This window comes from Homo sapiens, chromosome 4, assembly GCF_000001405.40.
Source record: "Homo sapiens chromosome 4, GRCh38.p14 Primary Assembly".
NCBI lineage: Eukaryota > Metazoa > Chordata > Mammalia > Primates > Hominidae > Homo > Homo sapiens.
Genome location: NC_000004.12, coordinates 107,405,447 through 107,420,879, shown reverse-complemented (window position 1 = coordinate 107,420,879; position 15,433 = coordinate 107,405,447). Strand labels below are relative to the sequence as shown.

At 39.8% G+C, this 15,433-nt stretch overlaps 1 annotated feature.

The window, feature by feature from the left end:
• Positions 517 to 1,716: an enhancer, noted in NCBI's record as "P300/CBP strongly-dependent group 1 enhancer chr4:108340321-108341520 (GRCh37/hg19 assembly coordinates)". NCBI's record gives its function as "activates an origin of replication core promoter dependent on BRD2, BRD4, P300/CBP, MED14 and CDK7 cofactors, with strong dependence on P300/CBP, by STARR-seq in HCT116 cells {active_cell/tissue: HCT116}" and the evidence as "EXISTENCE:reporter gene assay evidence [ECO:0000049][PMID:35650434]".

Here is a 15,433-nt window from a genome sequence, read left to right as displayed (position 1 = left end):
ATTGCCTAGGTTTTCTTCTAGTGTTTTTATGGTTTTAGGTCTTGCATTTAATTCTTTAATCCATCGTGAGTTACTTTTTGTATAAGGTGTAAGGAAGGGGTCCAGTTTCAGTTTTCTGCATATGGCTAGCCAGTTTTCCCAACACCATTTATTAAATAGGGAATCCTTTCTCCATTGCTTGTTTTTGTCAGGTTTGTCAAAGATCAGATGGTCATAGTCGTAGATGTGTGGTGTTATTTCTGAGGCCTCTGTTCTGTTCCATTGGTCTATATATCTGTTTTGGTACCAGTACCATGCCGTTTTGGTTACTGTAGCCTTGTATTATAGTTTGAAGTCAGGTAGCATGATGCCTCCAGCTTTGTTCTTTTTGCTTAGAATTGTCTTGGCTATGTGGGCTCTTTTTTTGTTCTGTATGAAATTTAAAGTAGTTTATTCTAATTCTGTGAAGAAAGTCAGTGGCAGCTTAATGGGGATAGCAGTGAATCTATAAATTACTTTCGGCATTATGGCCATTTTCATGATATTGATTCTTCCTATCCATGAGTATGGAATGTTTTTCCATTTGTTTGTGTCTTCTCTTATTTCCTTGAGCAGTGTTTTGTAGTTCTCCTTGAAGAGGTCCTTCTCATCCCTTGTAAGTTTTATTCCTAGGTATTTAATTATCTTTGTAGCAATTGCAAATGGGAGTTCACTCATGATTTGGCTCTCTATTATTGGTGTATAGGAATGCTTGTGATTTTTGCACATTGATTTTGTATCCTGAGACTTTGCTGAAGTTGCTTATCAGCTTAAGGAGATTTGGGGCTGAGACGATGGGGTTTTGTAAATACACAATCATGTTATCTGCAAAGAGACAATTTGACTTCCTCTCTTCAAAAAATTTTCTTTTTTATTCTCAGCAAGGCAAGGTACTTCTATAGAAGGGTGCACCCTTACAGATGGAGCAATGGTGAGTGCACACTTGAACAAGGGAGGGGAAGGGGTTCTTATCCCTGATGCACGTGGCCCCTGCTGCTGTGTCATTCCCCTATTGGCTAGGGTTAGGCCACACAGGCTAAACTAATTCTGACTGGCTAATTTAAAGAGTGACGGGGTGAGTGGTTTTGTGGGGAAAATGGTTATGACAGAGCAGGTAATCAGAATGAGTCAGGGTGGAGTAGGTAATCAGAATGAGTCATGGTGGAGTAGGTAATCAGAATGAGTCAGGGTGGAGCAGGTGATTGAAATGAGTCAAGGTGGAGCAGGTAATCAGAATGAGTCAGGGTGGAGCAGGTGATTGAAATGAATCAGGGTGAAGCAGGTAATTGAAAAAAGTTGCTTTATCAGGAAGTTAAGTTTAAAATGAAAAAAGTTGCTTTATGAGGAAGTTAAGTTTAAAAGTAGAAGATAAAGAATTGAACATACTGACATATTGATTCTTGGAAAAGAAATTTAGAACTCATATCTAACAACCCCTCCCCTTATATTTCCTTACAGCTTTCTTTTCAAACTTTTTTTTAAAACATGTCTTGGCTTAGTTGTTTTGCTTGATTTTTCAAAAGAAGAAGCTTCTCTGGATAAGGTGAAGGATAGTTAAAGGAGGTTTTAGTAAGTGCTGTTTTTATGAGCCTCTGCATTAACCCACGGATGCATGGTATGACGCAGCACCCAACAAGAATAAGTACACACATTATATCTGTGAGGGAAGTAAGAATTGAGGCTATTATTCCTTTCCATTTACCAAACCACTTTTTTAGCCATCCTGTAAAGGGGTTATTTACCCCTGAGTTGCTGGCTAACTCATTGGACAGGGCAGTCAGACCTTGCAATGCCTTTGTTATATTTCCATTAGGGGTGGTGTTGTTTGGGATGAAGGTGCAACATTGAGTTTTAATCATGACACAAACTCCTCCTGTTTCTGTTAATATCATGTCTAGGGCTATCCTATTTTCCCCAGCCGTCTGTCTAGTGGCCCCTAATTGTTTAGCTGTTCCTTTAACAGCATCTCTAGTGTAGTAAATAAATCGCTGTTGGTTGTGGTAAATGTAGTTTATCCAATCTACATTTTTATTAATTGTCACCTACCAAAATATTGGTTCAAATCCTGCAGCTATTTGATTTCAGGCTTTAAATTGATCTGGTATTCCCTGTGGGACTCTAAGTGTGTCTAAATAGACGTGAGAGTCAAGACCCATAAGGGGCTTCTCTTGCTTTACGATGTCTTATTTTTCCTTCCTCTGGTTGATGAAATTCCTTGGTGAAAGGGATAGCCAATTGTACTAAAGCACAAGTGCCACTCCAGTTATTTGGCAGAGTGTCCAGTAAAGGTCCATCACAATACCATCACACATCCATTTGGGGATGAACAAGGGCTGCCTGATTGGTAAGCTCTTGAAAGTTCTTAAGCTCACTGCATTCCTTCAGGTCTCCAAGGAACACTAAGTTTCTTCCCTGCAGTGAGAGACATGAAGTGAACTTAGTTTTGGGAGGTGGAAGCTGGAGGGCCCTCGGGGGCTGACCCGCAGGGTGTTGGACTTCGGGACATGGCAGAGAGAGAGCTTGGCATGACTTGTTACCCCAGGCTGTAGAATCCTGCAAAACAGTTACCATGCAGCCCATGCCTGGTAGACTGGAGGACCACCCTAGTGGAAAGGGGACAATCTGGGCCTCTGGCCTGCTATGCGCACAAGCATAATAATTGCTTTTGTTTAATGTGCAGACAGAATATTTGATCCATTCCAACCAGGCATTTGCATCTTGGTATCCTGTCTTAATTGCCAAAGTTTAAGTCTTCAACTTTTATGATAGCTATCTTTGTCTTGTCGTTAGATGGAGGAGGAGCAATGGTTCCAGTGTGAGAGGTTTTGGAAGAAGACTTAGAGGAAGGTGCAGGTGGTGGGGGATCAAAGAAATGCATTTCAAATAATCTAATAGGGTTTGTCCCTGAAACCTCAGCCCCTATACCATAAAACCGGCTTAAAGAAGGGAACTGGCTTAGAAAAGGGGAAGAACTTTGAGGGTTTGAGATAATAACCTGTATAGAATTATACTGGTTTAGCTGACAATTAGAGGGGAGGGCTGTCCCTCTAGTAAAATTAATGTATGGTTTTAGGAAATTACAAAAACTTGTTGGGGTAGTCCATCCTTGCTCTTTAGTGGTCCACAGAATGTTGGACTAACTATGGCATAAAAGCTCTACATCGGGGAGCAAGACTTCCTGGTTGTCACTGGGGTCTTTATCGAAATCTCCCCGGATTAAATGGTCCCAATTAATTAATGCCTAGTCTGAGGAGAGTCAGGAGGGACAGAGGTACTTTTCTGAAGTAGAGAGCTCTTTTTGACTTGACAAGTCCCCATGGGGTATAACAAGGCAAGCATTAAATGCAATAGTTTGAGGCAAAATTGACTTGGTTATGTCAATAATTAGATGGTCAGCAATAGAGTGAGGAAAGAAGAAAGAGTAATAGGATAGATTAAAGAGTTAAATTTTTCTTAGCTTTAGTTTGGTAGGGTTCTTTCCCTGGGACCTTGGCCCACTACTCTGGAGGGGGCGGCACTTACTTGACTCAGGTGTGATGAGTCCATCCCTTTTCTGCTGTATGAACAGCAGTCTCGGTGGTTAGCAGCACAAGGTAGGGTCCTTCCCAGGCTGGCTGGAGTTTTCCTTCTTTCCACCCTTTGATGAGAACGTGATCCTCAGGCTGGTGCTGGTTTACTAGAAATTCTAGGGGTGGTACCTGTGATAAAAGACTTTTAGTTTTGAGGGAAACTAAAGTGGAAGATAAACCAAGTATATAATTTCTAAAAAATTTATCTTTGTTTTAAATGTGGGGACATCAGCAGTGGACTTTGTAGTCCTTGGTGCCTTCTTACTGAGAAATTTCCTTTAGCACCTATTTTTATTAGCTTTTAGACCAAAGAAAGCCAAACACCATTTTATATTTGACAATGCTTCCTGTATGATTTTTATACCAGATAATCTAAATTTCACCTTTATATTGGTGTTATTAATGTTAAACTTAATTTTAATAAAACTTTGTAGGCATATTTATTCAACTTTTAATGTCTGACCATAGGTAAGATTTTTATAGACTCTTTTTAACCTTTTATAATTTTTGTTAAAGAGTAGGTTAGTGCTTTAAGAAAAACCTGTTGTGCTTGTATTTTAATATCCATTTCACAGAAAAACTGGATGATACCCCTTTAACTTTAGCCAATATGTTTACACACAGAATTTCCTTTGCAATTAACATTTCAAAACTTGCTTAAACCTTTAAAACAAAATATATATGTTTTTAACCTTTTAATGTAGGTAAAAATCCACATTCTTATGCCTCCTTATAATCCTTTTACCAAAGGTATATTTTACTTTCCTTATACACCTTGCACATAAACTGTTTCTTCAATAGTTTTACAATCAGGAGGCCTAATTACTTTTAAATTATACAACATTTCTTGCATAAATTCCCTTTTATAACTTTTTTTTCCCACGACTTTTACAGACAATTCTTCCACATGCCTCAACTTTCTGACTTGTTGCAAACATCCCTTTCTTTAAACAGCCAGTTAATTTATTTTAGGACAAGAATTTACCACATAACATTCCTTTTTACATACATTCTCCCCCGACTTTTTTTTTTCTCAAAGATAATAACCATTCTTTTCCAAAGCAAACTTTCTTCATGTCTGTGGACTAGACTGTCTAAGGCCACAAGATCAGAAGTTAGGATGATACATGTTACACTGTTAACTTTTAGCAAATTACTTTTGTTGGAAACCTTATAAATTTGGGATTTCAATTATTCTTTGCTTTTAATAAGACCTTGTTTAGTCCAAATTAACTTATAATTGGTATAGACGGTTCCTGCCTGGTTCTGTAGGTACTTTAAGGCTTGGCTGAGTGCAAACAGCTCTCACAGTTGAGCAGACCAATTATTAGGCAATTTCCCTAACTCTGCATTTACAAGAGTTTCCCTATCAATTACTGAATACCCATTGTGTATCATCCTGTCCCTGAAGGGAGTTCCTCCTAGGTCTGGTCAGACCTTTGTATGGTAATTAATTAAGATTTAGATCCCATGTTAGGAAACCTGCCGGGTTAAGGGAATTATCAGTGGTTAATGTCAAATAATCTTTTTCTAACAGAATAGCCCCATACTTTAAGATTTTTGAGTTAGTAAGCTACATTTTTATTTATTTATTTATTTATTTATTTATTTATTCATTTATTTATTTATTTTGGACTTAGGATAGTTCTGACCTTATGAGGTGTGCTCACAATGAGGTTTCCTCTAAAAGTTATTTTTCTACTTTCTTCTGTTAGCAAACCGGTTGCCGCTACAGATTGAATGCATGTGGGCCATCCGCAGGTTATTGCGTTAAGGATTTTTGATTAGAAAGGCTATGGGTTGTCAGCGGCCTCAGTGCTTTCAGGCTACACCCTTGTTTATACTGACAACAAGGTGGTTTTGTAGTGTTATGGGGTCATGGAGAAGACCTTCAATTATCAATTATAGGTTTTAAATTTACCCTGGCTTTTAAAGGAATAGGGTACACTATTTTCTCTTTACTACTTCTATCTTTCTCTTTCTCTTTCTCTCTTTGACTTTGTCTCTTTCTCTCTCTCTCTTTGACTCCCTCTTTGCCTCTCTTTCTCTTCCTCTCTCTCTCTTTTTCTCTCTCTGCTGTTCTTTCCCTGCCTCTGCCAGCTGCTTATGCTGCTGTTCTCCCTTCCCCTTCCCCTTACCCTAGGGGAGGGACCAGTGGGAGTGGAGCTACTCTTTCTTCCCTGAAAAGAGGATGCCCAAGATGGACATTAACTCGACCCAAGTGTATAACTGAGGTCCTAAGAATTGGTCTGCTACTCTGTAAGGGTCATCTAGTAGTGGTTTAAGCTCCTTTTTAAAATCCTGGACTTCTGAACTGGTTAGGGGAGCATTTACAAAGCGAATGGCCCCCCTCCTTGTGGTACCTCTTTCAAAGGGAAGAGGGTCGGGGCTGACCTCTTAGGTATGGAGGGAAATGGGAAATTCTGAATATCTTTTTTACATTGTTCTACCTCACACTGGAGTCCTTTTAGAGAGGAGTATTTAGGTTGGGAGGGAACAGGTTAATGGGATGGTAATTCCCAAGAGTCAGGGTTATAAGGCTATGAGTAGAGGGGGAATTTGGAACAGGATCTGAGGTGGCCGTGGCTGTCTGTGGGGAAAGGTTGGGGACACTGAACAGGGGAAGATAGTCTAGGGGATCCCATGTGCTGAAATCTTTAGGCATGAGAGCTGGCTCCTCTGACTTTTCATTTTGAGGTGCCAGATTGGGTTCTTCCGTATTTGTTTTTAAGGGAAAAAGGAGGGCAGGTCCTTGCCTCCAACAAAGGGCATAGCCTAGTTCTTCTTGAGACACTAGAGTTTTATCATTAACATATCGGATTAGAAGCTGACACATTACATCCGCATTCGACCCAAACTTTGGCCAGAAGATTGAGGGTTTGAGGATGGGTCCCTGAGTCCAAATAAAACAGCAATATTTTATCATTTGTTGCTTTTTCCTATGTTTCGTCCTTTCATTATCCTTCCAGTGTTTTAGCATGAGACCTAGGGGGCTATCCGGGGGGATATCTTTGTTACCATCTTTATCCCCCTTGCTCCCTGTCTTGCTCGGGGTATTTCCCATCTTGATGGTTTTGGGGTAAGGTTCAAGTTTCAATTTCCCTTACTGGAAATTTCTCACCTTTTGGGGTGAGGCTCAATTTCCCCACTGGAAATTTCTTGCCTTTAGGGGTAAAGCCTTTTGGGGTGAGGCTCAATTTCCTCAATGGAAATTTCTTGCCTTATGGGGTGAGGCTCAATATCCCCCACTGGAAATTTCTTGCCTTTTGTGTTGAGGCTCAATTTCCCCACTGGAAATTTCTTGCCTTTTCTACTACTGGAAGTAGTGTGTGAGGTTCAATCCCCCCGAATGGGGATGTCTCACCTCTTTCTAACCTTTAAGCCACCCCAACCAAGGAGTACTTCACTGAACACCCCCATGGCTTTCTTACCTGGTCCCGACCACCAAGGAAATACTTTACCAGCTCCCGTGGCTTCTCCTTCCTTGATCTGTGCACAGAGTTGTCACCAAGTGTGTGAGGATCCTTTAAGCTAGGTTGCTGGCCATTTTTTTTTTCGTGTTGCTGAGAGTTTGGGTTATTCCTTGCACTGGGTGGGCTCAGATTTCTCACTTCTGAGGCCGCCACAAGGGAGCAGGGTGCGCCTCCTCACAAGAGAGAACCAGAGACCATCCCTGGAGGGGAATGTAATCATGGGTGAGCCCCCAAATTGTTATATATAAAGTTGTGGTGCCACAAAAGAAATTGCACTTGGATATAACATTTTCTTTTTGATTCTCAGCAAGGTAAGGTACTTCTATAGAAGGGTCTGTCCTTACATATGAGCAAAGGTGAGTGCACCGACTTCCTCTCTTCCTATTGAATACCCTTTATTTCTTTCTCTTGCCTGATTGCCCTGGTCAGAACTTCCAATACTATGTTGAATAGGAGTGGTAAGAGAGGGCAATCTTGTCTTGTGCCAGTTTTCAAAGGGAATGCTTCTAGCTTTTGCCCATTCAGTATGATATTGACTGTGGGTTTGTCACAAATAGCTCTTATTATTTTGAGATACATCCCATCAATACCTATTTTATTAAGAGTTTTTAGGATGAAGTGGTATTGAATATTATCAAAGGCCTTTTCCACACCTATTGAGATAATCACGTGGCTGTTGCCATTGGTTCTGTTTATGGGATGGATTACATTTTTTGATTTGTGTATGTTGAACCATCCTTGCATCCCAGGGATGAAGCCAACTTGATCATGGTGGATTAGCTTTTTGATGTGCTGCTGGATTCGGTTTGCCAGTATTTTATTGAGGATTTTCACATCGATGTTCATCAGGGATATTGGCCTGAAATTTACCTTTTTTGTTGTGTCTCTGCCAGGTTTTGGTATCAGGATGATGCTGGCCGCATAAAATGAGTTAGGGAGGAGTCCCTCTTTTTCTATTGTTTGGAATAGTTTCAGAAGAAATGGTACCAGCTCCTCTTTGTACCTCTTGTAGATTTCAGCTGTGAATCTGTCTGGTCCTGGGCTTTTTTTGGTTGGTAGGCTATTAATTACTGCCTCAATTTCAGAGCTTGTTATTGGTCTATTTTGAGATTTGACTTCTTGGTTTAGTCTTGGGAGGGTCTATGCGTCCGGGAATTTATCCATTTGTTCTGGATTTTCTAGTTTATTTGCATAGAGGTGTTTATAGTATTCTCTAATGGTAGTTTGTATTTCTGTGGGATCAATGCTGATATCCCTTTTATCATTTTTTTATTGTGTCTATTTGATTCTTCTCACTTTTCTTCTTTATTAGTCTGGCTAGCAGTCTATCTATTTTGTTAATACTTTCAAAAAACCAGCTCCTGGATTCATTGATTTTTTGAAGGGTTTTTCGCATCTCTGTCTCGTTCAGTTCTGCTCTGATCTTAGTTATTTCTTGTCTTCTGCTAGCTTTTGAATTCGTGTACTCTTGCTTCTCTAGTTGTTTAAATTGTGATGGTAGGGTGTGGATTTAAGATCTTTCCCACTTTTTCCTGTGGGCATTTAGTGCTATAAATTTCCCTCTAAACACACTGTAGCTACGTCCCAGATATTCTGGTATGTTGTGCCTTTGTTCTCATTGGTTTCAAATAACTTATTTATTTGTGCCTTCATTTGGTTATTTACCCAGTAGTCATTCAGGAGCAGGTTGTTCAGTTTCCATGTAGTTGTGTGGTTTTGAGTGAGTTTCTTAATCCTGAGATCTAATTTGATTGCACTGTGGTCTGAGAGACTGTTATGATTTCCATTCTTTTGTGTATGCTGAGGAGTGTTTTACTTCCAATTATGTGGTCAATTTTAGAATAAATGTGATGTGGTGCTGAGAACAACGTATATTCTGTTGATTCAGGGTGGAGAGCTCTGTAAAGGACTATTAGGTCAGCTTGTTCCAGAGCTGAGGTCAAATCCTGAATATCCTTGTTAATACTCTGTCTCATTGATCTGTCTAATATTTACAGTGGGGTGTTAAAGTCTCCCACTATTATTGTTTGGGAGTCTAAGTCTCTTTGTATGCCTGTAAGAACTTGCTTTATGAATGTGAATGCTCCTCTATTGGGTGCATATATATTTAGGATAGTTAGTTCTTCTTGTTGCATTGATCCCTTTATCATTATGTAATGCCCTTCTTTGTCTTTTTTATCTTGTTGTTTTAAAGTCTCTTTTTATCAGAGACTATGATTGCAACCCCTGATTTTTTTTCCCATTTGCTTGTTAAATATTACTTCATCCCTTTATTTTGTGCCTATATGTGTCTTGGCACATGAGATGAGTCTCCTGAATACAGCACACTAATGGGTCTTGACTCTTTATCCAATTTGCCAGTCTATGTCTTTTAATTGGGGAATTTATCTTGTTTATATTTAAGGTTAATATTGTTATGTGTGAATTTGATCCTGTCATTATGATGCTAGCTGGTTATTTTGCCTGTTGATGCAGTTTCTTCACAGTGTAGACAGTCTTTACAATTTGGTATGTTTTTGCCTTGTCTAGTACCAGTTTTTCCTTTCCATGTTTAGTGCTTCCTTCAGGATCTCTTTTAAGGCAGGCCTGGTGGTGACAAAATCTCTCAACATTTGCTTGTCTGTAAAGGATTTTATTTCTCCTTCCACACTTATGAAGCTTAGTTTGGCTGAATATGAAATTCTGGGTTGAAAATTCTTTTCTTTAAAAATGATTCTTCTGGCTCGTAGGCATTCTGCTGAGAGATCCACTGTTAGTCTAATGGGCTTCCCTTTGTGGGTAACCTGACCTTTCTCTCTGGCTGCCCTTAACATTTTTTCCTTCATTTCAACCTTGGTGAATTTGACAATTATGTGTCTTGGGGTTGCTCTTCTCAAGGAGTATCTTTGTGGTGTTCTCTGTATTTCCTGAATTTGAGTGTTGGCCTGCCTTGCTAGGTTCGGGTAGTTCTCCTGGATAATATCCTGAAGAGTATCTTCTAACTTGGTTCCATTCTCCCCATCACTTTCAGGTATACCAATCAAACATAGGTTGGGTCTTTTCACATAGTCCCATATTTCTCAGAGGCTTTGTTCATTTCTTTTCATTCTTTTTTCTCTAATCTTGTCTCCACACTTTATTTCATTAATTTGATCTTCAATCTCTGATATACTTTCTTCTGTTTGATTGATTTGGCTATTCATACTTGTGTGTGCTTCATGAAGTTCTCGTGCTGTGTTTTTCAGCTCCATCAGGTCATTGATGTTCTTCTCTAAACTTGTTATTCTAGTTAGCAATTTGTCTAACCTTTTTTTTGAGGTTCTTAGCTTCCTTGCATTGTGTTAGAATATGCTCCTTTAGCTTGGATGAGTTTGTTATTACCCACCTTCTGAAGCCTACTTCTGTCAATTCATCAGACTCATTCTCTGTCCAGTTTTGTTCCCTTGCTGGCCAGGAGTTGTGTTTCTTTGGAGAACATACATTCTGGTTTTTGGAATTTTCAGCCTTTTTGTGCTGGTTTTTCCTCGTCTTTGTGAATTTATCGCCTTTGATCTTTGATGTTGGTGAGCTTCAGATGGAGTTTCTTTGTGGACGTCCTTTTTATTGAGTTGGTGCTATTCCTTTCTGTTTGTTAGTTTTTCTTCTAACAGGCCCCTCTGCTGTAGGTCTGCTGGAGGTCCACTCCTGACCCTGTTTGCCTGAGTATCACCAGCGGAGGCTGCAAAACAGCAATGATTTCTGCCTGTTTCTTCCTCTGGAAGCTTCGTCCGAGAGTGGCACCCACCGGATGCCAGCCAGAGCTCTCTTGTATGAGGTGTCTGTTGACCTCTGCTGGGAGGTGTCTCCCAGTCAGGAGGCACGGGTGTCAGGGATCCACTTGAGGAGGTAGTCTGTCCCTTAGCAGAGTTCAAGCATTGTGCTGGGAGATCTGCTGCTCTCTTCAGAGCCAGCAGGCAGGAACGTTTAAGTCTGCTGAAGCTGCACCCACAGCTGCCCCGTCCCCCAGGTGCTCTGTCCCAGGGAGATGGGAGTTTGATCTATAAGCCCCTGACTGGGCTGCTGCCTTTCTTTCAGAGATGCCTTGCCCAGAGAGGAGGAATCTAGAGAGGCAGTCTGGCTACAGTGGCTTTGCTGAGCTGTGGTGGGCTCTACCCAGTATAAACTTCCTGGCAGCTTTGTTTATACTGTGAGGGGAAAACCACCTACTCAAGCCTCAGTAATGGCAGACGCCCCTTCCCTGACCAAGCTTAAGCATCCCAGGTTGACTTCAGATTGCTGTGCTGGCAGTGAGAATTTGAAGCCAGTGGATTTTAGCTTGCTGGGCCCTGTAGGAGTGGGATTCGCTGAGCTAGACCTCTTGGCTTCCTGGCTTCATCCCCCCTTCCAGAGGAGTGAACAGTTTTGTCTCACTGGTGTTCCAGGCACCACTGGGGTATGAAAATACACTCCTGCAGCTAGCTTAGTGTCTGCCCAAATGGCTGCCCAGTTTTGTGCTTGAAACCCAGGGCCCTGGAGGCATAGGCACTGGAGGGAATCTCCTGGTCTGCCAGTTGCAAAGACTGTGGGAAAAGTGTAGTATCTGGACAGGAGTGCACTGTTCCTCAAGGCACAGTTCCTCATGGCTTCCCTTGGCAAGGGGAGGGAGTTCCCCAACCTCTTGCACTTCTCAGGTGAGACAATGCCCCAACCTGCTTTGGCTTGCCCTCCGTGTGCTACACCCACTCTCTAACCAGTCCCAATGAGATGAGCCTGGTACCTCGGTTGGAAATGCAGAAATCACCTGTATTCTGCATTGATCTCACTGGGGGCTGCAGACTGGAGGTGCTCCTATTTGGCCATCTTGCCAGCCACTACTTTTAAGTTTTTAGTAGTTAAGTGGTTTCTCTACTTGTTTTAACGTGGAATTTTTCTCAGTCATATATTGTGTAGGAGGCTTTCTTTCTCTTTTCTTTCCTTTTTTTTTTTTTTTTTTTTTAAAGAAAGGGTCTTGGTCTGTCACCTAGGCTGAAGTGCAGTGGTGTGATTTCAGCTTACTGCAGACTTGACCTCCTAGGCTCAAGTGATCCTTCTGCCTCAGCCCTCTGAGTAGCTGGGGCCACGGGTGCATGCTACCATGCCTGGCTAATTTTGTATTTTTTGTAGAGATGGTGTTTTGCCATGTTGCTCAGACCATTCTTGAACTCTTGAGCTTAAGCAATTCACCTGCCTTCACCTCCCAAAGTGCTAGGATTACAGACGTGAGCCACCACACCTGGCCCCAGAGAATTTCAACTGGGTTCTGACTTTTTCTTGAAGAGGCTTGATCCATGTGTAGGAGCTAACTTAGTATGTCTATGGGGAAAGGATAGCTGGAGCCTTCTATTCCTTCATGTTGCAGAATTGACTCCTTTCAAATGCTTTTTTGTGTTCCATTTTTTTCTTCATTTTTTTCCTAATTTAAAAAAAGTCAGCATAATATGCACATTGAAAATAGTCATTTTAACTGTGTTGTCTGCTAATTTGTCATCTCTGTCATTTCTACTTCTTTTTCTGCTGATTTTTTTTTCTCTTTGGATCATATGCCTGGAATTTTTTTTTTGCATGTTTAGAACTTTTTTGTGGATGTCACATATTGTGAAGTTTTCATTGTTTTGTGCTTGATTGTGTTGTGGTTTTTAAAGATTGCTGAACCTTGTTCTGCTAGGCAGTTAACATAGATATCTGTGGTTTACGTTGATCCTTTGAAAGCTTTTTTAAAAAACTCTTTGGGGCAAGTATGGCGTGACCTTTATTTTAAGGCTAGCTAAGTCCCTCTACTAAGGCATACTTGCTAGAGGTCTCTACTCAATTATTTGTATATATAATGAGATCTGCTCACTGTTATTGTGGAACCTGAATGATTATTAACCCTGTGTGCTTGAAAACTGTTTAGCTTATAGCTTCCTGGAAATTATTCTCATTTTAGCTTCATAGTATTTCATTCTAGGCATTCAAACTTGTTATTCACCCAAAATCTCAGAGGACCTTTATGCAGATTTTTGGAACTACTTTTTTCTCTCTTCAGTACTATGCTCTACAAATTCTAGGCTTTGTTTTTTATTTTATTGTATTTATTTATTTGTTTTTGCCTCTCTTAACTGATGTATATCTTCTTAACTCAGCAAGTCTTGAAGGCTGTGTTTGCATTCTGCCTCCCTTGTTTATGTTAAAAATTGTCCCCAGGTAAAATCCAGGGCAATTGTAGGATCACCCCATTTTTTCTTTCTTTCTTTCTTTCTTTCTTTCTTTCTTTCTTTCTTTCTTTCTTTCTTTCTTTCTTTCTCTCTTTCTTTTTTTCTTCCTTTCTTTTCTTTCTTTTCCTTTCTTTTCTTTCCTTTTCTTTCTTCTTTTTTTTCTGGACAGAGTTTCACTCTTGTTGCCCAGGCTGGAGTGCAATGGTGCAATATCAGCTCACCACAACCTCTGCCTCCCAGGTTCAAGTGATTCTCCTGCCTCAGCCTCCTGAGTAGCTGGGATTACAGGGGTGCACCACCACACTGGGCTAATTTTTTGTATTTTTAGTAGAGACAGGGTTTTTCCATGTTGGTCAGGCTGTTCTCAAACTCCCGACCTCAGGTGATCTGCCTGCCTCGGCCTCCTAAAGTGCTGGGATTACAGGTGTGAGCCACCACACCCAGCCTTTCTTTCTTTTTTCTGAGGATCACATCCTGCATTGTTGTCCACATCTGAAAATGTTTTTTTCACCATTTTATTTGCTTTTCTAGTTATTTATAATGATGATAATTCTGCACCCTATTGCTCCCTCAGAGCCATAAGTGGGGGAAGATGCAGTGATTTTGTCAAATGCTTAAAAGTGCTGGCAATTTTTGGAAGTAAAGTTAAATATGGTATTATGAAAATATTATGTATATATTATTGAATGGCCTGATCTTATATTTTTATGCCCAGTGTGTAAAATAAAAGGATTCACAAAACAATATCGATATTATTTAGAATATGGTACTATATTAAATTCCTCATGATAGTGTCAGAATCCTTACCATATTTAGTATAGCACTTGTGTGCAAACTCATTTCTTTCTAACAGTGCTGAAATTTCCAGTAGGTAATTCAAATAAACAGGGGCATTAAGGAAATTTATTTTTTAGAAATTTGGTTTTTTAAGGGAAGCATTAAAGTTACAATAGAAAAATCAGGTTGTGGGCACTTCCCCACACTTAATATTCTTTGTGTGTGTGCACGTTTAATGATATCAGTTTGCAGGCTTTTCAGAATGTGTTTGGTAATTAGTGGTTCTAAGAGTCTTAATCTTTTTATCACAATTTTTTAAAAAAAGTAGAAGACAAGTTCAACTATAAATTTACTACGAAATACTCAACTCTTGATAGTTTCATGCAAAATTTGATGATTAAAGATAGAGATGCTCATGTTTTTGGTGCTCTTATAGCCTACTCTTTTGCCATTCTTTATTGATATCTTCAGATATTTATAATAATATCTAGCATATATAGCAGTTAGAGTTGATTTGGATCTTGTATTTCCAAGTCTACTTTCTTTCTTCAGCAATTCTTAGCTTCTAGGTAAAAGGTTGCATACTTTTGTTTTTCAGGCCTTAACCAGCCTGTACACATAATTTTTCAGCCTGTACATTGTTGGCCCATATAGTGCCCTTTCCCCTCCAACCCTCCGGAGGTTCTGAGATGCAACAATTTTTCAGAGCTGCCTACTTCAGATGGGGCATAATTTCTACAGGTTGTCATTCTCATAATAACTCCTCATTCTAGTCACTAACATTTATTTGATTCATTCAACATGTATTTGTTTTGGCCTTTTCATTCCCTTATGTTCATGCTTGATCCTTAGCCTAGAGTAAAAGAAAGAAAGAAGTAGAAAAAAAAAAGGAAGACAATTAAAAGGATTGAAAAGTAGCCTTTATATAGGTTTGCACATGATTTTTGTTGTTTTTATTTCAGCTTATGGATTTACAAACCTTAATGTTCTTAAGGAAGAAAGACCAAGAAGTTGTATTTTAACTCAGTGCTCACTTCCTCAAGTGGTTAAAAGTGAATAAGAGAACAGATAAATCTGTACTGCTGAACTGCAGAAAGTGGTTGAAAGAAACTGAAGAAAGTTTGAATTAGGAAAGAAGGTGGTAAGAATTAACTTTCTATGGAAAAACAGGCTGGAGGATGGAGTATACCTATTTCATTTTCCTCCTCCATCAGCCGGTGGCAAAAACTTGCTTTCTCTTAACTTAAACCTTTGTCATGGCAAGACAATTATTAAAGAGAAAACCCTGCTGGAGCCATGGTTGGTGATTCGACGCAGATAAAAATAACTAGGCAGAATATAAATTCCTTTTTAATGGATATAAATGGTAAATACATAAACGGAATCTATGTGAAGGTATGTAAGA